The sequence below is a fragment of the Homo sapiens genome, chromosome 1 (genome assembly GCF_000001405.40).
Source record: "Homo sapiens chromosome 1, GRCh38.p14 Primary Assembly".
In the NCBI taxonomy this organism is placed as follows: domain Eukaryota; kingdom Metazoa; phylum Chordata; class Mammalia; order Primates; family Hominidae; genus Homo; species Homo sapiens.
Window position 1 is genome coordinate 149,946,224 of NC_000001.11, and position 24,010 is coordinate 149,970,233.

The 24,010-nt window shown below is 43.1% G+C and overlaps 1 protein-coding gene across 12 annotated transcripts in view; it reads right to left on the minus strand.

Annotated features, from left to right (window-relative positions):
* Positions 1-24,010, minus strand: part of OTUD7B (OTU deubiquitinase 7B) — a 129,842-nt gene that overhangs the window by 8,412 nt on the left and 97,420 nt on the right. For 6 of the 12 annotated variants that reach the window (XM_047425716.1, XM_047425712.1, XM_011509784.4 and 3 more), the window contains exons 4-11: positions 21,071-21,298; positions 19,554-19,655; positions 17,999-18,126; positions 13,461-13,573; positions 3,871-3,998; positions 3,406-3,555; positions 2,746-2,860; positions 1,001-1,112 (exon numbers count right to left, since the gene is read on the minus strand). In XM_047425716.1, the coding sequence (XP_047281672.1) occupies positions 1,001-1,112; positions 2,746-2,860; positions 3,406-3,555; positions 3,871-3,998; positions 13,461-13,573; positions 17,999-18,126; positions 19,554-19,655; positions 21,071-21,298 (1,076 nt within the window). The remainder of the gene's footprint in view (positions 1-1,000; positions 1,113-2,745; positions 2,861-3,405; positions 3,556-3,870; positions 3,999-13,460; positions 13,574-17,998; positions 18,127-19,553; positions 19,656-21,070; positions 21,299-24,010) is intronic. The other 6 variants (XM_047425721.1, XM_047425720.1, NM_020205.4 and 3 more) reach the window with 3 other exon arrangements.

The window sequence follows — 24,010 nt, forward strand, 5'->3', positions numbered from 1 at the left end:
ATGGTGGCGGGCACCTGCAATCTCAGCTACTCGGGAGGCTGAGGCAGGAGAATCGCTTGAACCCAAGAGGTGGAGGTTGCAGTGAGCTGAGATCGTGTCATTGCACTCCAGCCTGGGCATCAAGAGCAAGATTCCGTCTCAAAAAATATATATATGTTTTAGTATCAGATAACAGAGACTGGCTGGAGAGGAGATGTGGAAAACAGGAGACTAACGGTTTTTAAAAAGCAGGAAAGGGCTGGGTGTGGTGGCTCATGCCTGTAATCCCAGAACTTTGGGAGGCCAAGGTGGGTGGATCACCTGAGGTCAGGAGTTCGAGACTAGCCTGGCCAACGTGGTGAAACTCCGTCTCTACTAAAAATACAAAAATCAGCCGGGTGTGGTGGCGCACGTCTGTAATCCCAGCTACTCGTGAGGCTGATGCAGGAGAATCACTTGAACCTGGGAAGTGGAGGTTGCTGTGAGCCAAGATTGTGCCACTGCATTTCAGCCTGGCTGACAGAGCAAGACTTCCTCTGAAAAAAAAAAAAAAAAAAAGGACAGGAAAGGCCAGGCGCGGTGGCTCACACTTGTAATCCCAGCACTGTGGGAGGCTGAGGCGGGCAGATCATCTGAGGTCAGGCATTCGAGACCAGCCTGGCCAACATGGTGAAACCTGTCCTCTACTAAAAATACAAAAATTAGCTGGGCGTGGTGGCGCATGCCTGTAATACCAGCTACTCAGGAGGCTGAGGCAGGAGAATCGCTTGAACCCAGGAGGCGGAGGTTGCAATGAGCCAAGATTGTGCCATTGCACTCCAGCCTGGGTGACAGAACAAGACTCCATCTCAAAAATAAAAATAAAAAATACAATAAAAACAGGAAAAATTGTCTTTGGAACTTATCTGACATCTTCTAGTTACTTCTAACCTTGAATTGTAAGCCACCACTCAGAATAGATTCAGAAGGAAACCATCCCAGATCTCCTTGTTCTGTCACTGAAAATGAAATGAAGACACACCAGGGTAGATGTGGGAGAAGTCTTCACCTGTGCATCAGAGGACAGTGGGATCCACTTCACATTCATGTAGCTATGCAGCAGATGCAATTTGACCTCTAGGGACAGAATTACACTATGAAAAAGAGAAAAAACAAATTACTGTCACCTTTTAAAAGCAAAGCAATTTGATATAGTTGGGAGAAAGGGTGGGAGAGGGCTACATGGCTTAGGACTCAAATAGGGTTGGGTTTGAACTATTTCTCCACCAATTAATAAGCTTTATGACCTTGAGCAAGTCACTTCAACCTCCCTGAAACTCAGCTGCAGCTGAGAATGGGTATAGATAATATCTATCCTGTAGGGTTGTTGTAAAGATTAAAACAGTGTTTGGAAAGAGCCCAGCACAGTGTCTGGAAAATGGGAAATACTAGATAGTAGCCATTATCATTGTTGTTGTTGTAAATATTATTTAGAAGGAGCTTTTGATAAATAGGTGAGAGGTTATTTTTAAAAAGCCATAAACTCTGGATTTTAAAATCAAACTCTCTTAGCTGGGACCCAGTGGCAGGAGCCCAGAGAGTGAAGCACTAGGTAAGTGCTAAGGGAGGAGCTTTTGCATTCATACACTCTCCATCAGGAAGTTGATGCAGGAGGCAGAAGGAAGGCTTAACAAGCCACAGGGAGGTAGAGTGGGGGCTGAGAGGGTAGGGAACATATTTTTCTTGCTATTAAATTCCAGAAAGGCAAAAACTCAGAGCAAACTATTTTTATCACGTATTTATTTATTTATTTTTTGGATGGAGTTTCACTCTTGTTGCCCATACTGGAGTGTAATGGTACCATCTCAGCTCACTGCAACCTCCGCCTCCTGGATTCAAGTTATTCTCCTGCCTCAGCCTCCCGAGTAGATGGGATTATAGACATGCACCACCACGCCTGGCTAATTTTGTATTTTTAGTAGAGATGTGGTTTCTCCATGTTGGCCAGGCTGGTCTCAAACTCCCGACCTCAGGTGATCTGCCTGCCTCGGTTGCCTGTTCACTCTGATGGTGGTTTCTCCCAACATGCTGGGATTACAGGCATAAGCCACCGCACCCAGCCTTGATCAACTCTTTAAAACTCCTCTCACTTGGGCTAAGACATGTGATTTGATTATCCTGATTTTCTTTCTTTCTTTTTTTTTTTTTGAGACAGACTCTCACTCTGTTGCCTAGGCTGTAGTGCAGTGGCACGATGTCGGCTCACTGCAACCCCTGCCTCCTGGGTTCAAGCGATTCTCCTGCCTCAGCCTCCCTAGTAGTTGGGATTACAGGCACGCACCACCACGCCTGGCTAATTTTTGTATTTTTAGTAGAGACGAGGTTTCACCATATTGGCCAGGCTTGTCTCGAACTCCTGACCTCGTGATCCACCCACCTCAGCCTCCCAAAGTGCTGGAATTACAGGCATAAGCCACCATGCCCGGCCTGATTATCCTGATTTTCTGATCAATGTTTTAGAGATGAATCAGTGTATGAACACTTTTCCTATTGTAAGAAAAGAACAAGTTGAGATGCTAGGATTCCCATCTCTTTCACAGGGAGAAAAAGCAGCTGCACCATGAAAGAGTCCTGGTGCCCAACCTCTCCTCTACCTCCCCATCTTCCCAAAACTCATCTTAGCTTGTGACTGTCTTGCCTGAGCTGAGGAAAAATCCCTGGGAGATGGATGCCACATGTGGAAGAAATCCCAGCACAAAATAGATGAAAAGACTAGGCCTGGCTTACCTGGCCAATCGGACATTGTCACTATCATCTTTGCCCCACTCCCAGCCCTTTCCAGGGTCCACAGCAAAGTGCAAGGGCAGCAGCTTATACTCTGAATCTGTAAGTGGGATCACAGCTGGAGAGGAAGAAACATATCATCAAGGAATCTCCTTAAGAGAGAAAGGTAACTGAACACAGACTTATTTCACTAAAATCATACTAAGGTCTTTAATTGTAGTCACTTCTCAATTCTTACACGTGAATTACCCCGGTATTAAAACTAATTGGCTAGTTTTCCCGCTACCACGCAGCATATGTTTTAGGCCACAAATCTCCCTGAGTCCCCACCAGTCAGTCAACTAACTCTCATGATGTTCTTTCCAGTTAATGTATATTCAGAGAATTCAGTCATAATTTAAGACAAATTAGAAAAGCATCATTTAGAAGCTCTTACACCTTAATCATAAGCCTTTACTCCAGAAGAGGGTATATAGGTCTTGCTTTTCTCCCAACCCTTTTTTTTTTAATTTGAAAACTCTGGCGTAACTTCTGGCTTAATAAAACAGTATCAACATGTGCTGTCTGGGCTTGCATGTCACTTAATTCTTTCCTCCTACATTAGATCTCATTCAATTTTTTCAAGTGAAAATAATGCAGACCAAAAGACATGTCATTCAGCACCTTGTTCCTTGGTATTCTCCTTCTGCTCCATGGACACGAGTGCAGAAAAGTGGGCCTGATCATAGGCGAGCACCAGAGGGGAGCGGTGACACTGGCTGGCTGGGACCTCCAAAGGCAGATAGATTCCTCCAAAGGGAATAGGGGCAAATGCTGCAGGAAGCCATGAAGATTATTATGAAGGCTGTGTTTCTGCCTAGTGGACAATCCCTACATCCCACTCTGCCAACTGAGTCCCTCCCTGCTTTCATTCCAACATGTTTAATAATTCTTTCCTAAGAAGCCCTGTCAACTAATCCCAACTGCTTTACTCAGAATCTCTTGAGAATTTTGCACTATTCTAATTGATAACTTGCTTTTTCCCCAAGGGTCTATATATCCCCTTTCCTGCCTTCCTTCCAATGCTTAGCCTAAGGCTTTGCAAAAGGGGGTGCTCAGCATGGAGTGAGGACTGACTGGCTGACTCACCTTCCCCTCCGGAGTCCCTCAGCATGGTGTCTGCCACGACGACTATGGGCCTCCTAAGCACATGAGCAAGGACAAAGACGTGAAACTCTTCAAGGCTCTCATATACAGGCTCCTCAGAACTCTCCACCCTGGAACGACGGGAAGGGAGAGAGTGAAAAGGGTGCAGTAAAAATGAGAGAGTAGAAACAGGAGACCCTGAAGACCAGTTCTGCAGAAAGGGAAAAGAAGAATGTCCTTTCCTGGTTTTCCAATCTTAAGGCTGCCACTGATATAGCTGATTATTTTATGCTACCATGGCTGTTTCTACCTCCGTTTTCACAGATGGGGAAATCCAAGAAAAGAGATTTGAAGGCTCTAGGGTTAAAGCAGTGTTAGGAATTTGGAGGTAATCCCTATCTCTTAATATTCTTCCTGTTCAATAGCCTCTCTCCATTCTCTTCATCCAGTAGCTCAATACACAACTGCATAGCTTCATCCTACTTATTTTATATACTACAGCCACCCACACATCACACTCATGTCTTACAAAAACAGCCAAACACAATTCCTTTCCTATGTTCCTTTCCTCACTGAAAGAACAGCTTCACCATCTATCCAGTAGCATAATCAGAAATTTGGAAATATTTATTGTGCTTTTATCTCTCACCTTCCAGTAGTCACGTGATTTAACCAATTCCATCTCCCGTGTGTTTTTTGTTTTTTTTTCTTTTTTTTTTTTGAGATAGAGTCTCGTTCTGTCCCCCAGGCTGGAGCAGTGGCGCGATCTCGGCTCACTGCAAGCTCTGCCTCCCAAGTTCACGCCATTCTCCTGCCTCAGCCTCCCGAGTAGCCGGGACTACAGGCACCCGCCACCTCGCCCGGTCTAATTTTTTGTACTTTTTGTATTTTTTTTTTTTTTTTTTTTTTGTAGATGGAGTCTCACTCTTTCGCCCAGACTGGAGTGCAGTGGTGCGATTTGGGCTCACTGCAAGCTCCACCTCCTGAGTTCAGGCAATTCTCCTGCCTCAGCCTCCCGAGTAGCTGGGACTACAGGTGCCCACCACCATGCCTGGCTAATTTTTTTGTATATTTAGTAGAGATGGGGTTTCACCGTGGTCTCGATCTCCTGACTTCGTGATCCGCCCGCCTCGGCCTCCCAAAGTGCTGGGATTACAGGCGTGAGCCACTGTGCCTGGCAATTTTTTAAATTTTTAGTAGAGACGGGGTTTCACCGTGTTGGCCAGGATGGTCTTGATCTCCTGACCTCGTGATCCGCCCGTCTCAGCCTCCCAAAGTGCTGGGATTACAGGTGTGAGCCACTACGCCTGGCCTTCCTGTGTGTTTCTTTTATCTGTCTCCCGGGCTTATCTTTAGTCTACCACACTGTTCATCCATGGCCCTTTCCTGGATTACTACAACTGCATCTTATCCCACTCCTTTCCACTTCATTATCCACTGGAGTCAGCGTGTTCAAATACGGAGGGACAAATTTGCTCCTGTCATTCACATACTCAATATTCAATGGCTTCCACCCCCTAAAGCAATTTTATTCAATATTGGATGCTGATTACAAACAAGGATTTCTGGGCCTTACCTCTGTCCAACTCAACTGGACTTTTCTGGGGTGGAGGTCCAGAAATCAGCTTTTTAAATAACTCTCCCAGATTATTCTTATGTACAATAAAATCTGCATAGGTTATAATTTTTAACCATTATGGAAAATTTCAAAATTTTAAACATATTCAATACTAGAAATGATAATATACTAAACACTCATGTATCCATCACCCAGCTTTAACAATTATAAACACATGGTCAACCTTTTTTTTTTTAAACAGAAAGTTTATTACAGCATATTACAGGCTTGTGTCAGTACTAAATTGATCAATAAACAGATTCTAGCCTGCACTTTCAGGAATGCACCCAAAGCTACTCCTCAGATCTAGAGTAGCATGGGAACTGCTTGCTGCTCCTGCACTAATTTTTTTTTATTATACTTTAAGTTCTAGGGTACATGTGCACAATGTGCAGGTTTGTTACATAAGTATACATATGCCACGTTGGTGTGCTGCACCCATTAACTCGTCATTTACATTAGATATATCTCCTAATGCTATCCCTCCCCCCTCCCCCAACTCCACAACAGGCCTTGGTGTGTGATGTTCCCCACCCTGTGTCCAAGTGTTCTTATTGTTCAATTCCCACCTATGAGGGAGAACATGTGGTGTTTGGTTTTTTGTCCTTGCGATAGTTTGCTCAGAATGATGGTTTCCAGCTTCATCCATGTCCCTATAAAGGACATGAACTCATGCTTCTTTATGGCTGCATAGTATTCCATGGTGTATATGTGCCACATTTTCTTAATCCAGTCTATCATTGTTGGACATTTGGGTTGGTTCCAGGTCTTTGCTATTGTGAATAGTGCCACAATACACATACATGTGCATATGTCTTTATAGCAGCATGATTTATAATCCTTTGGGTATATACCCAGTAATGGGATGGCTACGTCAAATGGGATTTCTAGTTCTAGAACCTTGAGGAATCGCCACACTGTCTTCCACAATGGTTGAACTAGTTTACAGTCCCACCAACAGTGTAAAAGTGTTCCTATTTCTCCACATCTTCTCCAGTACCTGTTGTTTCCTGACTTTTTTAATGATCACCATTCTAACTGGTGTGAGATGGTATCTCATTGTGATTTTGATTTGCATTTCTCTGATGGCCAGTGATGATGAGCATTTTTTCATGTGTCTGTTGGCTGCATAAATGTCTTCTTTTGAGAAGTGTCTGTTTATATGCTTCGCCCACTTTTTGATGGGGTTGATTTTTTCTTATAACTTTGTTTAAGTTCTTTGTAGATTCTGGATATTAGCCCTTTGTCAGATGGGTAGATTGCAAAAATTTTCTCCCATTCTGTAGGTTGCCTGTTCACTCTGATGGTGGTTTCTTTTGCTGTGCAGAAGCTCTTTAGTTTAATTAGATCCCATTTGTCTATTTTGGCTTTTGTTGCCATTGCTTTTGGTGTTTTAGTCATGAAGTCCTTGCCCATGCCTATGTCCTGAAGGGTATTGCCTAGGTTTTCTTCTAGGGTTTTTATGGTTTTAGGTCTAACATTTAAGTCTTTAATCCATCTTGAGTTAACTTTTTTATAAGGTGTAAGGAAGGGATCCAGTTTCAGCTTTCTACCTATGGCTAGCCAGTTTTCCCAGCACCATTTATAAAATAGGGAATCCTTTCCCCATTTCTTGTTTTTGTCAGGTTTGTCAAAGATCAGATTGTTGTAGATGTGTGGTATTATTTCTGAAGGCTCTGTTCTGTTCCATTGGTCTATATCTCTGTTTTGGTACCAATACCATGCTGTTTTGGTTACTGCAGCCTTGTAGTATAGTTTGAAGTCAGGTAGCGTGATGCCTCCAGCTTTGTTCTTTTGGCTTAGGATTGTCTTGGCAATGCAGGCTCTTTTTTGGTTCCATATGGACTTTAAAGTAGTTTTTTCCAATTCTGTGAAGAAAGTCATTGGTGGTTTGATGGGGATGGCACTGAGTCTATAAATTACCTTGGGCAGTATGGCCATTTTCACGATACTGAGTCTTCCTATCCAAGAGCATGAAATGTTCTTCCATTTGTTTGTGTCCTCTTTTATTTCATTGAGCAGTGGTTTGTAGTTCTCCTTGAAGAGGTCCTTCACATCCCTTGTAAGTTGGATTTCTAGGTATTTTATTCTCTTTGAAGCAATTGTGAATGGGAGTTCACTCATGATTTGGCTCTCTGATTGTCTATTATTGGTGTATAGGAATGCTTGTGATTTTTGCACATTGATTTTGTATCCTGAGACTGCTGAAGTTGCTTATCAGCTTAAGGAGATTTTGGGCTAAGACAGTGGGGTTTTCTAAATATACAATCATGTCACCTGCAAACAGGGACAATTTGACTTTCTCGTTTCCTAATTGAATACCCTTTATTTCTTTCTCCTGCCTGATTGCCCTGGCCAGAACTTCTAACACTATGTTGAATAGGAGTGGTGAGAAAGGGCATCCCTGTCTTGCACCAGTTTTCGAAAGGAATGCTTCCAGTTTCTGCCCATTCAGTATGATATTGGCTGTGGGTTTGTCATAAATAGCTCTTATTATTTTGAGATACGTCCCATCAATATCTAGTTTATTGAGAGTTTTTAGCATGAAGGGCTGTTGAATTTTGTCAAAGGCCTTTTCTGCATCTGTTGAGGTAATCATGTGGTTTTTATCTTTGGTTCTGTTTATATGATGGATTATGTTTATTGATTTACGTATGTTGAACCAGCCTTGCCTCCCAGGGATGAAGCCAACTTGATCTTGGGGGATAAGCTTTTTGATGTGCTGCTGGATTCGGTTTGCCAGTATTTTATTGAGGATTCTTGCATCGATGTTCATCAGGGATAGTGGTCTAAAATTCTCTTTTTTTGTTGTGTCTCTGCCAGGCTTTGGTATCAGGATGATGCTGGCCTCATAAAATGAGTTAGGGAGGATTCCCTCTTTTTCTATTGATTGGAATAGTTTCAGAAGGAATGGTACCAGCTCCTCTTTGTACCTCTGGTAGAATTCGGCTGTGAATCCATCTGGTCTTGGACTTTTTATGGTTGGTATGCTATTATTGCCTCAATTTCAGAGGTGCTATTGGTCTATTCAGGGGTTCAAATTCTTCCTGGTTTGGTCTTGGGAGGGTGTATGTGTCCAGGAATTTATCCATTTCTTCTACATTTTCTAGTTTAATTGTATTGAGGTGTTTACAGTAGTCTCTGATGGAAGTTTGTATTTCTGTGGGATCGGTGGTGATATGCCCTTTATCATTTTTTATTGTGTCTATTTGATTCTTCTCTCTTTTCTTCTTTATTAGTCTTGCCAGCGGTCTATCAAATTTTGTTGATCTTTTCAAAAAACCAGCTCCTGGATTCATTGATTTTTTGAAGGGTTTTTTGTGTCTCTATCTCCTTCAGTTCTGCTCTGATCTTAGTTATTTCTTGCCTTCTGCTAGCTTTTGAATGTTTGCTCTTGCTTCTCTAGTTCTTTTAATTGTGATGTTAGGGTGTCAATTTTGGATCTTTCCTGCTTTCTCTTGTGGGCATTTAGTGCTATAAATTTCCCTCTCCACACTGCTTTGAATGTGTCCCAGAGATTCTGGTATGTTGTGTCTTTGTTCTCATTGGTTTCAAAGAACATCTTTATTTCTGCCTTCATTTCATTATGTACCCAGTAGTCATTCAGCAGCAGGTTGTTCAGTTTCCATGTAGTTGAGCAGTTCTGAGTGAGTTTCTTAATCCTGAGTTCTAATTTGATTGCACTGTGGTCTGACAGACAGTTTGTTATAATTTCTGTTCTTTTACATTTGCTGAGGAGTGCTTTACTTCCAACTATGTGGTCAATTTTGGAATAAGTGTGATGTGGTGCTAAGAAGAATGTATATTCTGTTGATTTGGGGTGAAGAGTTCTGTAGATGTCTATTAGGTCTGCTTGGTGCAGAGCTGAGTTCAAGTCCTGGATATCCTTTTTAACTTTCTGTCTCGTTGATCTCTCTAATGTTGACAGTGGGGTGTTAAAGTCTCCCATTATTATTGTGTGGGAGTCTAAGTCTCTCTGTAGGTCTCTAAGGACTTGCTTTATGAATCTCGGTGCTCCTGTATTGGGTGCATATATATTTAAGATAGCTCTTCCTGTTGAATTGATCCCTTTACCATTATGTAATGGCCTTGTCTCTTTTGATCTTTGTTGGTTTAAAGTCTGTTTTATCAGAGACTAGGATTGCAACCCCTGCTTTTTTTTGTTTTCCATTTGCTTGGTAGATCTTCCTCCATCCCTTTATTTTGAGCCTATGTGTGTCTCTGCACCTGAGATGGGTCTCCTGAATATCGCACACTGATGGGTCTTGACTCTTTATCCAATTTGCCAGTCTGTGTCTTTTTAATTGGAGCATTTAGCCCATTTACATTTAAGGTTAATACTGTTATGTGTGAATTTGATCCTGTCATTATGATGTTAGCTGGTTATTTTGCTCGTTAGTTGATGCAGTTTCTTCCTAGCATCGATGGTCTTTAAATTTGGCATGTTTTTGCAGTGGCTGGTATCGGTTGTTCCTTTCCATGTTTAGTGCTTCTTTCAGGAGCTCTTGTAAGGCAGGCCTGGTGGTGACAAAATCTCTCAGCATTTGCGTGTCTGTAAAGGATTTTATTTCTCCTTCACTTATGAAGCTTAGTTTGGCTGGATACGAAATTCTGGGTTGAAAATTCTTTTCTTTAAGACTGTTGAATATTGGCCCCCACGCTCTTCTGGCTTGCAGAGTTTCTGCCGAGAGATCTGCTGTTAGTCTGATGGGCTTCCCTTTGTGGGTAACCCGACCTTTCTCTCTGGCTGCCCTTAGCATTTTTTCCTTCATTTCAACTTTGGGAATCTGACAATTATGTATTTCAGAGTTGCTCTTCTCAAGGAGTATCTTTGTGGCGTTCTCTGTATTCCCTGAATTTGAATGTCGGCCTGCCTTGCTAGGTTGGGGAAGTTCTCCTGTATAATATCCCGAAGAGTGTTTTCCAACTTGGTTCCATTCTCCCCGTCACTTTCAGGTACACCAATCAGACATAGATTTGGTCTTTTCACATAGTCCCATATTTCTTTGAGGATTTGTTTGTTTCTTTTTACTCTTTTTTCTCTGAACTTCTCTTCTCACTTCATTTCATTCATTTGATCTTCAATCACTGATACCCTTTCTTCCACTTGATTGAATCAGCTACTGAAGCTTGTGCACGCGTCACATAGTTCTTATGCCATGGTTTTCAGCTCCATCAGGTCGTTTAAGGTCTTCTCTATGCTGTTTATTCTAGTTAGCCATTCGTCTAATCTTTTTTCAAGGTTTTTAGCTTCTTTGCGATGGGTTCGAACATCCTCCTTTAGCTCAGAGTTTGTTATTACCGATCGTCTGAAGCCTTCTTCTCTCAACTCGTCAAAGTCATTCTCCGTCCAGCTTTGTTCTGTTGCTGGTGAGGAGCTGCGTTCCTTTGGAGGAGAAGAGGCACTCTGATTTTTAGAATTTTCAGCTTTTCTGCTCTGGTTTCTCCCCATCTTTGTGGTTTTATCTACCTTTGGTCTTTGATGATGGTGACATACAGATGGGGTATTGGTGTGGATGTCCTTTCTGTTAGTTTTCCTTCTAACAGTCAGGACCCTCAGCTGCAGGTCTGTTGGAGTTTGCTGGAGGTCCACTCCAGACCCTGTTTGCCTGGGTATCACCAGTGGAGGCTGCAGAACAGCAAATATTGCAGAACGGCAAATGTTGCTGCCTGATCCTTTCTCTGGAAGCTTCATCTCAGAGGGGCACCCGGCTGTATAAGATGTCAGTCAGCCCCTACTGGGAGGTGTCTCCCAATTAGGCTACTCGGGGGTCAGGGACCCACTTGAGGAGGCAGTCTGTCCGTTCTCAGATCTCAAACCGCGTGCTGGGAGAACCACTACTCTCTTCAAAGCTGTCAGACAGGGACGTTTAAGTCTGCAGAAGTTCCTGCTACCTTTTGTTCAGCTATGCCCTGCCGCCAGAGGTGGAGTCTACAGAGGCAGGCAGGCCTCCTTGAGCTGCAGTGGGCTCCACCCAGTTCGAGCTTCCCGGCCGCTTTGTTTACCTACTCAAGCCTCAGCAATGGCGGACGCCCCTCTCCCAGCCTCACTGCCTCCTTGCAGTTCTATCTCAGACTGCTGTGCTAGCAGTGAGCAAGCCTCCGCAGGCATGGGACCCTCCGAGCCAGGCACGGGATATAATCTCCTGGTGTGCCATTTGCTAAGACCGTTGGAAAAGGGCAGTATTAGGGTGGGAATGTCCCGATTTTCCAGGTACCGTCTGTCACGGCTTCCCTTGGCTAGGAAAGGGAATTCTCCAACTCCTTGTGCTTCCCAGGTGAGGCAATGCCCCGCCCTGCTTCGGCTCACGCTCCGTGGGCTATACCCACTGTCCAACAAGCCCTACTGAGATGAACCCGGTACCTCAGTTGGAAATGCAGAAATCATCCCTCTTCTGCGTCACTCATGCTGGGAGCTGTAGACTGGAGCTGTTCCTATTTGGCCATCTTCAACACTTGGTCAATCTTGTTTTACTACACCTCAGATCTATTTACCTACCTCCCCCATCACGGGGCTACCACCAGAGAATTTTGAAGCAAATCCTGGACATTATATAATTTCATCCATTTTTATTTTATTTCAGTTTCTATCTCTAAAAACATAAAGGACTACCTTTTTTTTTTTTTTTTTTTTTTTGAAATGGAGTCTCACTCTGTCGCCAGGGCTGGAGTGCAGTGGCACGAACTCGGCTGACTACAACCTCTGCTTCCTGGGTTCAAGCAATTCTCCTGCCTCAGCCTCTCGAGTAGCTGGGATTACAGCCGCCTAGCACCACGCCCAGCTAATTTTTTGTATTTTCAGTAGAGACAGGGTTTCACCACATTGGCCAGGCTGGTCTCGAATTCCCGCCCACCTCGGCCTCCCAAAGTTCTGGGATTACAGGCGTGAGCCACTGCGCCTGGCCAGGACTACCTTTTTAAACAACCACTATACCATTAATATCACATTTTATAATTTTAACAATAATCAAACACAGAGACATTGTTCACATTTCCTTAATTGTCTTATGATGTCCACACATCCCAACTGGTTGATGTCTTTTTTTTCTTTTAGAGACAGAGGTCTCTCTTTGTCACCCAGGCTGGAGTGCAGGGGTGCTGTCACAACTCACTGCAGCCTCGACCTCCCCAGCTCAGGCAATCCTCCCACCTCAGCCTCCCAAGTAGCTGGGACTATAGGCATGCACCACCATGCCTGGCTAATTTTTTTTTTTTAAGATGTGGTCTCACTGGCCAGGCATGGTGGCTCATGCTTGTAATCCCAGCACTTTGGGAGGCCAAGGTGGGTGGATCACTTGAGGCCAGGAGTTTGAGATCACCCTGGCCAAAATGGTGAAACCCCGTCTCTAATAAAAATACAAAAATTAGCTGGGCGTGGTGGCATGCATCTGTAGTCCCAGCTACTTGGGAGGCTGAAACAGAGAATCACTTGAACCCTGAAGGCAGAGGTTGCAGTGAGCAGAGATCACACCACTGCACTCCAGCCTGGGCAACAAAGTAAGACTCTGTCTCAAAAAAAAAAGAAAAAAAAGAAAGAAAAAGAAAGGGGGTCTCACTATGTTACCCAGGCTGGTTTCGAACTCCTGGGCTCACACGATCCTCCTGCCTCAGCCTTTCAAAGTGCTGAGATTACAGGTGTGAGACACCACACCCGGCCTGATATGTCTTTTTAGTCCATTTAAACCTACAAGTTCCTGGTCCCTTTTTATTTTCCTTGCAGTTTACTTACTGAAGATACTGGGTCATTTGTCCTGAAGTTTCCAAAGTCTAGATGGGCTACTTTATATTCCAGTTCAATACCGAACTACCTGTAGTTCCTAAACATATCATGTTGTTACACACTTTTGTGCCCTTAGCATAGTTCCCCTCTTTCCTTCTAATATCCTCTTAGCACAGAGCTCTCTAGACACTGGGCTGTGGAAGCCCAGTGAGGACTCTATGCAGGTTTCCTCCTCCCCTACTTAGCCATACTTACCCACCACAGTTGGCTCCATTGGTACCTAGATGCATTCGGGGTTCACTTGAGGCAAGCTTGATCAGTTCATTCCACTCCTTCTGCCATTCATCTTCTGTGTATACCAGCCCTGACTGTGTGAAGGACAGGCAGGGGACATTGGGCAATTAGAGGCTGGGTTCTAAGAGGCAATACCTATTCCACCTTATTCACTGTTACTTACTCCCTAATCCCTTAGCACTTGGTTTACAAATTGTACTACAAAGTCAAATCTCTTATCTCTTTTACAGTCAAGATCCATGAACTAATAGTCTATGACTATTAAACTTCTTTATCATCCATTCTTTTTGACCTACTGCAATCTGTCCCATTTCTGCCCTCCATCCTGCTCACCCACCTGCCACATAACATTTCACCTACCTGATTTTGGCAAAGAACAATGACCTTCTAATTGCCACATTCAGTGGACCCTGGTTCCCATCTTAGCCTTCACATGGGTTATTTTCCTCTTTAAATTTTCTTTGCCATTAGCGTCCATAAAATTACTTTCTATTCCTCTAAATTCTGTCTGCCCCCAAAATACTAGTGGTGTGTCAATGATTTTCACCTTGGTTCCCTCTGGGTGATCTCTTCTACTGCCATAATCTCATCCACTACCATCTGTATGGTATATACCATCTATCTCCAGCCCAGATTTCTTAATTTCTTTTCTTTTTCTTTTCTTTCCTTTTTTTCTTTTTTTTTTTTTTGTAGACAGAGTCACCCAGGCTGGAGTGCAATGGCACAATCTCGGCTCACTGCAAACTTCACCTCCCGGGTTCAAATGCTTCTCCTGCCTCAGCCTCTCGAGTAGCTGGGATTACAGCACCCACCACCAGGCCCAGCTAATTTTTGTATTTTTAGTAGAGACGGGCTTTCCCCATGTTGGCCAGGCTGGTCTCGAACTCCTGACCTGGTGATCTGCCTGTCTCAGCCACCCAAAATGCTGGGATTACAGGCATGAGGCACTGCACTCAGCCTAGACTTCTTAATTTCTATATTCATATATCCAGCTACCTACTGGAGACTGCCACCTGCCCATGGCTACCTCAAACTCTGTAAAGTCAAAATAGAACTCCTGTTTTTTCCCAAACCCACTCTTCTTCCTATTTTCCTACCTTAGTGAATAGCACCAACTATCACCCAAACATCCAAGCTCAAAACCAAGGAATTATCTAATATTCCTTTCTTTCTTTCACCCACCCCACACCTGGATACCTTCTTTTTTTTTTTTTTTTTTTTTGAGACAGAGTCTCACTCTGTCGCCCAGGCTGGAGTACAGTGGAACGATCTCAGCTCACTGCAACCTCCACCTCCCGGGTTCAAGCAATTCTCCTGCCTCAGCCTCCCAAGTAGAAGTGCTGCATACAAAGCCTACTTTCTGGCCCCTACCCACTTCTCTAGTCAGATATATCTCACTGAATCAGCTGTAGTTCCTGAAATATACCATGTTGTTTTATACCACTGAGCTTTTGTCTAAGCTGTTCCTTCTGCCTGGAGTAGCTCACTTTCTGTCAACCTTGTGAACAATTTCTCAACTTTTAGGACAGAACTCAGGTATCATTCCTCCAAATAGTCTTCTAAATCTCCCTTGGCAGATCAACCACTCCTTCCTTTGTATCCTCTCTCCCTAACTGCTATAGAGTTGTTGTTGTTTTTTTGTTTGTTTGTTTGAGACAAAGTCTTGCTCTGTCACCCAGGATGGAGTGTGGTGGCATGATCTTGGCTCACTGCAACCTCCACCTCCCAGGTTCAAGCAATTCTCCTGCCTCAGCCTCCGGAGTAGCTGGGACTACACGTGCACACCACCATGCCTGGCTAGTTTTGTATTTTTAGTAAAGACGGGGTTTCACCATGTTGGCCAGGCTGGTCTCGAACTACCAACAGGTGATCCGCCTGCCTTGGCCTTCCAAAGTGCTGGGATTACAGGCATGAGCCACCGCATCCGGCCAGCATTAACTGCTATAGAGACGTCTATTGTAAGAGTCATACATGTTATAACCTGTTGCAATTATGTATTTACATGTCCATCTCCTCCTCTATGCTAGGATCATGTTTTATGCAATACACCCAAGGTCTATTTTGTGACTATAATCAATAAACATATGCTAAGTGAAACTACAATTTTTATCAAAGGAGAGCAGGCAATGGTACAAGCAATTTTAAAATACATTGGCTTTAGGATGTATATAATGATAAGGGAAATAAGTTTAACTTATTAATTTTATTTGGCTGACATTAGTATTAAAATGAGTCTATACGGCTTAACCGCACACTGACAGAGTAGAAGGAAATCACTGGAAACATGAGGGGTACTGGGAACAAATTTAATGGGAATTTTTTAAATGACACAGCTATTTTCAATTTGTAAAATGCTATCACAAATTTTACTTCAATTAAAAATAAAGAGAGCAATGCCCAGGTTCTATATGGAGTGCTGCAGTCACTCCAATAGACACATCCAGATCCGGCTCCCTCTTCCTGGCCGGTTTCTGCTTCCTGTTTTAATGTACACAGCCACTAGGTGGTGTACAACTTCTAGCCTTAACATTTAAGAAACTATTACTGAGCCTCACCACCAATTTCAACATAAAACAAGGAAGCCCAGGAAATCAAAACTTATTTAGTGTGGTTTTGGTACTGGGGAGCTAAAGGAAGCTTCCCCAGTTCATTATCCTCCTCCTACCATTCCCACTCCCAAGGTGGGTAATAATGCTATGAATGGTCTAAGCTAAGACAATTATGAAAGCCACATTTTCAGTATGAACTTTCACTGTGCTGAGCAAAAGGACTAAAACTATTGCTCCATTACTAGCCACTATTCTCTATGCATGTTGGGGACTTTCAGATGGAAAGGCTGACTTTGAGAGGGAAAGGCTGGCTGGCCAAGGATAGAACGTGGGTATTTCTGGGTTTCCTGGCTAAATACCATTATAATCTAACCCCATCTTTAGAATAATAACTAATTGCTTTAATAACTGGAATTGGGCACACTTAATTTTCTGGGTGTTGCTGTCATTTCTACTTAATAGTTGGCATGTTCTGGTTTGGCCTTTTCTTGCCTCTGCAGTGGTTAAGGTTCCGGTATTATCTGAACTCAACAGTGAAGAGGACAAAGCTGACTACCACAAAACTGACTACTGATTTGCTCTGGATTCTAAATTCTAGGCTAGCTCTAGCTCAGGCAAAAGCTTTCCACGAGATCCAGCCAAGCTTTTGGTGCTAAAAAAGAATGTCAAGTACTTATGTGGCCTTGCCCCTGTGGGTTTATTTCCCTCAGGAATCTTCTGGGGAAGACTGGCTGCTCAAGGAGAGGATTCTGATCTTAATATCATCTACTTTTAACAACTGGATTATTTGTTTTTGAGGAAGAAACATAGCATGTTCTACTTACATATTAAATCTTCAGGATATAAAATTCTAAATAACTAAAACAAAAAAACTCTTCTATATTGTCAAGTTATGACAGCAATAAAATGAGAAAAAAAGAAAGGTGGATGAAAAAGGAAAGTTTCTGAAGAGATATTGCCATACTAAATGCCAGAAAGATCCAGCCATAACATGGCAAAAAAAAAATAGATATACATAAAGAGCAGGAGATATAAACATAGCACAGAATCACAGGAAAAGGAAATAGGGAGCCTCATTATTTTTATGTAAAGGCATAATGTCATTATTGAAGGGAAGTAATCAGCAAACTTTTTCTGTAAAGGGCCAGGTAGTCAGTAAGTATGGGCTGTGCAGGCCACATGTTACTACTGTGCTGCTGGAGGAAGAAAGCAGTTACACGTGTAAACATCCAAGAAATGCCCAGGGCTGTATTCTGATAAAAGGTTTTTTTGTTTTTGTTTTTTTTTGTTTTTTTTTTTCTTACAAAATAGCCATAGTTTGCGCAACCCGTTTTGGAGAGGGCAAGTACAAACAATCTGTTGTTACTGCCTTATATAACAGCAGCCTCAACATTTGACAAACTCCTGAGAAGTACTGTTCAGACTCAATTAAATAGGTATGCTTTTTGTGTGTGTGTGTGATTAGAATGCTGGTTCCTTATGCTTTTTAAAATTTAAAATAAACTAAAACTGAGTATATGAAAAACAAATGGTATATATGTCCTAAAAGATTTTAACCATTCACATTTCTATAGGGGCTGAAAACATAAGTCTTTAAAAATTGATCTAGCCTTATTACAAGCAAAAAAACAAAACAATACAAAAATCCTATGGAATTGTCATAACTCATTTTGCAAAACACTGCCACTAAAAGCTATAAAGCACCTACTGGGGGAAAAGCACAATGTTAGATAACCTCTCTGTAGGTCTCATGCCCACCACCAGTTCTCATGACCACATCAGAAGGCATTTACCCCATTGGTGTTAACTGCATTTTCTCCAATTTTCAGGATCATAAGGGGAGTCACACTGACCTAAACACTTGGAAATATTTTCTACTGGCAGGCACCCAGTGACTTTGGCAGCTTGGTAACTTTAGGAAACAAGGCGCTCCCACCCACGCTCTCCCACCTCTTTATTCTGCTGTGTCTGCTGCCACCTCCAGCGCCTTTTCAACGCTTCCTTCTCAACTCCCTTCTCCATCAGTGCATACAAAGCTTTCCGCAGCATCAAGTCCCGATCATGGAAACCCCACATTCCTGTGGCAAAAAAGCATAATGGTAAGATACCTCAGCTTGACTCTGCTAATTTTTGTATTTTTAGTAGAGATGGGGTTTCACCATGTTGGCCAGGCTGGTCTCAAACCCCTGGCCTCAAGTGACCCCCCTGCCTTACCCTCCCAAAGTGCTGGGATTATAGGTGTGAGCCATGGCACCAGGCTGCAAATAATATATTAAGTTGTAAATTGACTTAATTTTTTGTTTATTTGGTTTTTTATGGGTTTTTTTGGTTGGTTTTTTTGAGACAGAGTTTCACTCTGTCCCCCAGGCTGGAGTGCCATGGTGTGTTCTTGGCTTACCGCAACTTCCGCCTCCCATGTTCAAGAGATTCTCCTGCTTCAGCCTCCCGAGTAGCTAGGATTACAGGTGTCCACCACCATATCAGGCTAATTTTTGTATTTTTAGTAGATACAGGGTTTCACGATGTTGGCCAGGCTGGTCTCGAACTCCCAACCTCAGGTGATCCACCCACCTTGGCATCCCAAAGTGCTGGGACTACAGGCGTGAGCCACCACGCCTGACCTTTTTTTTTTTTTGTAGACAGAGTCTTGCTTTGTTGCCCAGGCTGGAGTACAGTGGTGCGATCTCGGCTCACTCACTGCAACCTCTGGCCCCCGGATTCAGCAATTCTCCTGCCTCAGCCTCCCTAGTAGCTGGGATTACAGGCATCTGCCACCATGCCCAGCTAATTTTTTTATTTTTAGTAGAGATGGGGTTTCACCGTGTTGGCCAGGCTGGTCTCAAACTCCTGGCCTCAAGTGATCTGCCCACCTTGGCCTCCCACAGTGTTGGAATTACAGGCGTGAGCCATTGAGCCCAGCCCTTACTTTAAATATTAAGCCTATTTACAGTGGGGCATGGTGGCTCCCACCTGTAATCCCAGCTACTTGGGAGGCTGAGGCAGGAGAATCGCTTGAACCCAGGGGTGGAGGTCACAGTGAGCTGAGATCACACCACTGTACTCCAGCCTGGGCAACAGAGTGAGACTCCGTCTCAAAAACTAAATAAATAAATAAAATAAAGTAAGTGTGTGTTACAAAGGACTGCTAAAAACATACCTTTTTCATACAACAAAAGAATAAATATTAAGTAGAATTGTACACATACACACATCTAGCTATACACTGCTGGCTTACTCCTACTCATTACTCCTGGGGTCAGCTTTCAAAGCCAGCCCAAGCTAATATCTGTGCTCTCTTCACTATCTCACTAGCAAAGGTAGGGCTCACTCCCATTTCCTCTTGTGCCAACATAAACACACAGACACACACGTAAGCATGCACAATCTCGCTCTGAACCATCATTTCCGCCTAAGATCAAGGTTATCTGGATCAAGTCCTACACATGAGATTTGACTCAACTGCTTCCTTTCTGCAGGTGAATGGAGGACTGCTTTCAAGACTCACCAAGGGAGGCTGCATGCAGGAGGCAGTTCCCATCTCCAGTAGTTGCCAAAGGAAGCAGCCTCTGAGAGGTGGGATCCACACTCACCCACCAGTTCAAACGCCCTGTAGAAACAAGATAGTGGAGGAAAAGGAGATTATCCATGAAGCCCTTCCACCTTCCTATTTCTGAAACAGACTCCAAAGCAGCCTCCTCTAGGAGGCCTACCCAGAATAAAACCATCACTTGATTACTCTTTATATCTTCCTCACTTATATCTAGTCAGTCAGAATCTTGTGAGCACAATTGGTTAGATCAGTGAGTAGGGTCAATTTTGTCCCAAAGGGACACTGGCAATGACTGAAGATATGTTTGCATGTCACAACTGGTAGCAGGATGCTACTGGTATCTAATGGGTAGAGGCCAGGGATGCTGCTAACCATGATATAATGCACAAGGCAGCTTGCAAAACAAAGAATTATCTAGACCAAAATGTCAATAGTGCCAAGGTTGAGAAACCCTGGGTTAAATGACGAGGCCAAGGACATAAGTTGAAACTGTTGACTGCTTGGACTGGCCCTGATTCCTTCCCTCCACTCAGGAGACCAGTATGTATCACAGCAACAAAGCTCAGCAAAAATCCATCATGAACAAAACAAAAACAACTCAAAGCATGTATTTAAGGTGTTTTATGAGTATCATCTGCATATATGACAGCATGTCATCACGTGTGGGGTGTGACTTTAAAGGAATGAGCAATAAGATAAAGTACATAAAATATCCAAGAAAATAAGTCTTAATTCCATGCAGTCATCCCACAATTGCCAACCCATTATTTACATGAGGAAAATATCTTATGAGTGATGCATAAGTTTTCTTGAACTACTGTGGAGCATAGTTTTTGAACTACTGAATGAAAAACTGGCTTATAAACTCCCCAGACCAGATAATTTACCAACTTAAAAAAAAATTACAAATAGATGTATATGGTTAATATAGAAGGTTACAAAATGAAAAATAAAAGCTTCCTTTCCATGCCCTCATCTAACTCCAGTTCTTATCCCACACAAGCATTTTAATGCCTGATTAGCTTTTCCAAAATTCCCAGCTGCCTCACCCTATGATAAGAATTAATTTTAACAATAATTTAAGATAAACACAATTACAAACGTAAATACATTTGGGGGGATAGGTTCACTACTGTGCATCATCTACAGCATTGGTCATTTCTGTTCACAAGGGTGTTCCAGGGCCAATTATAATTAGTTGTATTTTTTTCATGTATTGATTTCGAGGTATTGATTCCTAGGCCTTTTCACATGTGTATCTGGTTTCTCTTCCATCAACCAGGAAATTCCCAGAGTAAAGTATCTAATCTGTATCCATTCTTTGACAGCACAAGTTTATCCCACTGACTCCTGACTTTGCAATCAGATAACACACTTAAACTGGAAGCTAGCGATCAAGTCCAGCCCCTCCACAAGGCTGCCTGTAGGTGGAGAGTAGAGGGAAGAGTGTGGGAGAGGAAGCACTCACTGACCTGCCTGTTCCAAGGCAACCAGCATGGACTGCTCAATGAGGTCTCTCTCTATGAAGCTGCGGAAGTCTTCATTGTATACAGTGAGATCTGGAAGCTGGAAGGCACAGATGGGCATTTCCAGGGGGTGCTCATTGCTCCCCCCACCCCCACCATTGGAGGAGACATGGGACCGGGCCAGGGAAACAATGCTGGAGCTGGCGTGGGAGATGCCCCTAGACAGGCGTTTTTCTGCAATGAGAAATGGAGTCACCTTAGAACATACACAGCCCACTTGGAGAACTCTACACTGATGTGGTGATAGTTACCTCTCAACAGGGTTTACAGTCAGAGAAAAACTAAGTCTAACTGACTACTGAATTTCAGAACCCTTTTTCTGAAGCCAAATACAATTGGAGAAATAGAGACAGTATTTTTGTAGGCACTCACATTAGCACCAAATTATTCATTCCTCTTTCTGCCCTTGTTTGGAATTTGCCTGATCTTCCCCTCCCTCTGACTGTCTTCCTCCACTTCCATATTTCCCAGTGTGATAGGGACCCATTCATTTAGCAATTTGGTCATTGTTTGGTGGGAGGAGAGGGAATAAGGGAAGTGAGGTTTCACTAGACTAGAGTTAGTCAAATAACCTCTCTGGTAATTCTCAGGGTCTTGGGAAATACCTTTTCTAAAGGGTATTTTCATTCTAGAAAGATTATAAAAGAAATCCATTATAGAAAAGAAAATCCTTTGGGAGGCCAAGGCAGGTGGATCACCTGAGGTCAGGTGTTCAAGAGCAGCCTGACCAACGTGGTGAAACACTGTCTCTACTAAAAATACAAAAATTAGCCGGGCATGGTGGTGTGCCCCTATAATCCCAGCTACTCGGGAGGCTGAGGTGGGAGAATTGCTTGAACCTGGGAGGCGGAGGCTGCAGTGAGCCAAGATTGTGCCACTGCACTCCTGCCTGACAACAGAGCAAGACCCCGTTTCAAAAAAAAAAAAAAAAGACAATCAACAACAAATCTTACACATTTGGGAACTTTCTTCCTACATCAATAACATTAATTTATATTGCTTACTACAACTACTCTCAATACCCATATTTATCAGAAATTTATAGGGACAGTCAATTCTTAACAGTCTATAGAGAACAATAATGTAGATAGTACCCCACATCATTTCATTTGTTTTGAATACATGACACTTGTAATTCCCAAGCAGATATTCCACTGTGATTATAATTTGCTCAATGTAGTATTACAGTTCATTTGTATGGCTTCAATTATGTAATGATTTAATGATGATCCAAAGGGGGCAAAATTTCAAAAGCATGTTGGGCTGTTCTTAATACAACATTTGCCAGATATGATACACAAAATAAACTGAGTTGTCTAAAGTTATCTTATAGTGATGTTATTTTTCAAATATTTTTTAGTTTTGTTTGTTTTTGTTCTTTGAGACAGAGTCTCGCTCTGTCGCTCAGGCTGGAGTGCAGTGCTGCAGTCTCGGCTCACTGCAACCTCTGCCTCCCAGGTTCAAGGGATTCTCCTGCCTCAGCCTTCTGAGTAGCTAGGATTACAGGCACACGCCACCACACCCAGCTAATTTTTTTTTTTATTTTAGCAGAGACGGGGTTTCTCCACATTGGTCAGGCTGTTCTCCTCAAACTCCTGGCCTCAGGTGATCTGCCAGCCTTGGCCTCCCAAAGTGCTGGGATTACAGGCGTGAGCCACCACACCCACCTTAAAAATATTTTTTAGGTATTCGTAGGCTGAGCATGGTGGCTCACACCTGTAATCCCAAAACTTTGGGAAGCCAAGGTAGAAGGATCACTTGAGCCCAGGAATTCGAGACCACCTGGGCAACAGAGTGAGACCTAATTTCTACAAAGAATCAAAAATTTAGCTAGGTGAGGTGGTGCGTGCCCATGCTCCCAGCTACTTGGGAGGCTGAGGCAGTAGGATCCCTTGAGCCTAGGAGGTTTAGGCTGTAGTGAGCTGTGTTCCACCAGCCTCACTCCAGCCTTGGAGGACAGAGCAAGACCCTGCCTCAAAAACAGTACCATGTGCCTATGGTAAAAAATCAATATACCATCAAAAGGTATAAAATGATTTCACAAGGAAGTCTTCTTATCATTCAAAATTCCTGATCCCTTCCCCAGAGGCAAACTTTTGTATCCTTCTAGAAATTTTTATGCATACAGAAGCATATACAGGTTTTGGCCGGGCACGATGGCTCACGCCTGTAATCCCAACACTTTGGGAGGCCGAGGCAGGTGGATCACAAGGTCAGGAGATCGACACCATCCTGGCTAATACGGTGAAACCCCATCTCCACTAAAAATGCATGTACAGCTTTTAAAATCATCTTTTAAAACGCAAATGAGAGTATACTACATACATTGCATTGTGTCTTACCTTTTTGAAAAAAATTATATATTTTTTTATATGGAGTCTCACTCCGTCACCCAGGCTGGAGAGCAGTGGTGCAATCTAAGAGGTTTACTACAACCTCTGCCTCCTGGGCTTAAGCAAGTCTCCTGCCTCAGCCTCCCAAGTAGCTGGGATTACAGGTGTGCACCACCATGCCCAGCTAATTTTTGTAATTTTAGCAGAGACAGGGTTTCACCATGTAGGCCAGGCTGGTCTCGAACTCCTGACCTCAGGTGATCCACCAGCCTTGGTCTCCAAAAGTGCTGGGATTACAGGTGTGAGCCATCATGCCCAGCCCCCTTCTGAATAGATTTTAGAAATTTTTCCAAAACAGTACACCAAGTTCTGCCTAATTCTTTCTAATGATTGCAGAGTATTCCACAACATGGATGATTACAATTTACTTAACCATTCCTTTACTAATGGACATTAAATGTTTTCAGGGCCAGGTGCAGTGGCTCACACCTGTAATCCCAGCACTTTGGGGGGCCAAGTCAGATGGATTGCCTCAAGAAAAAAAAAAAGTTTC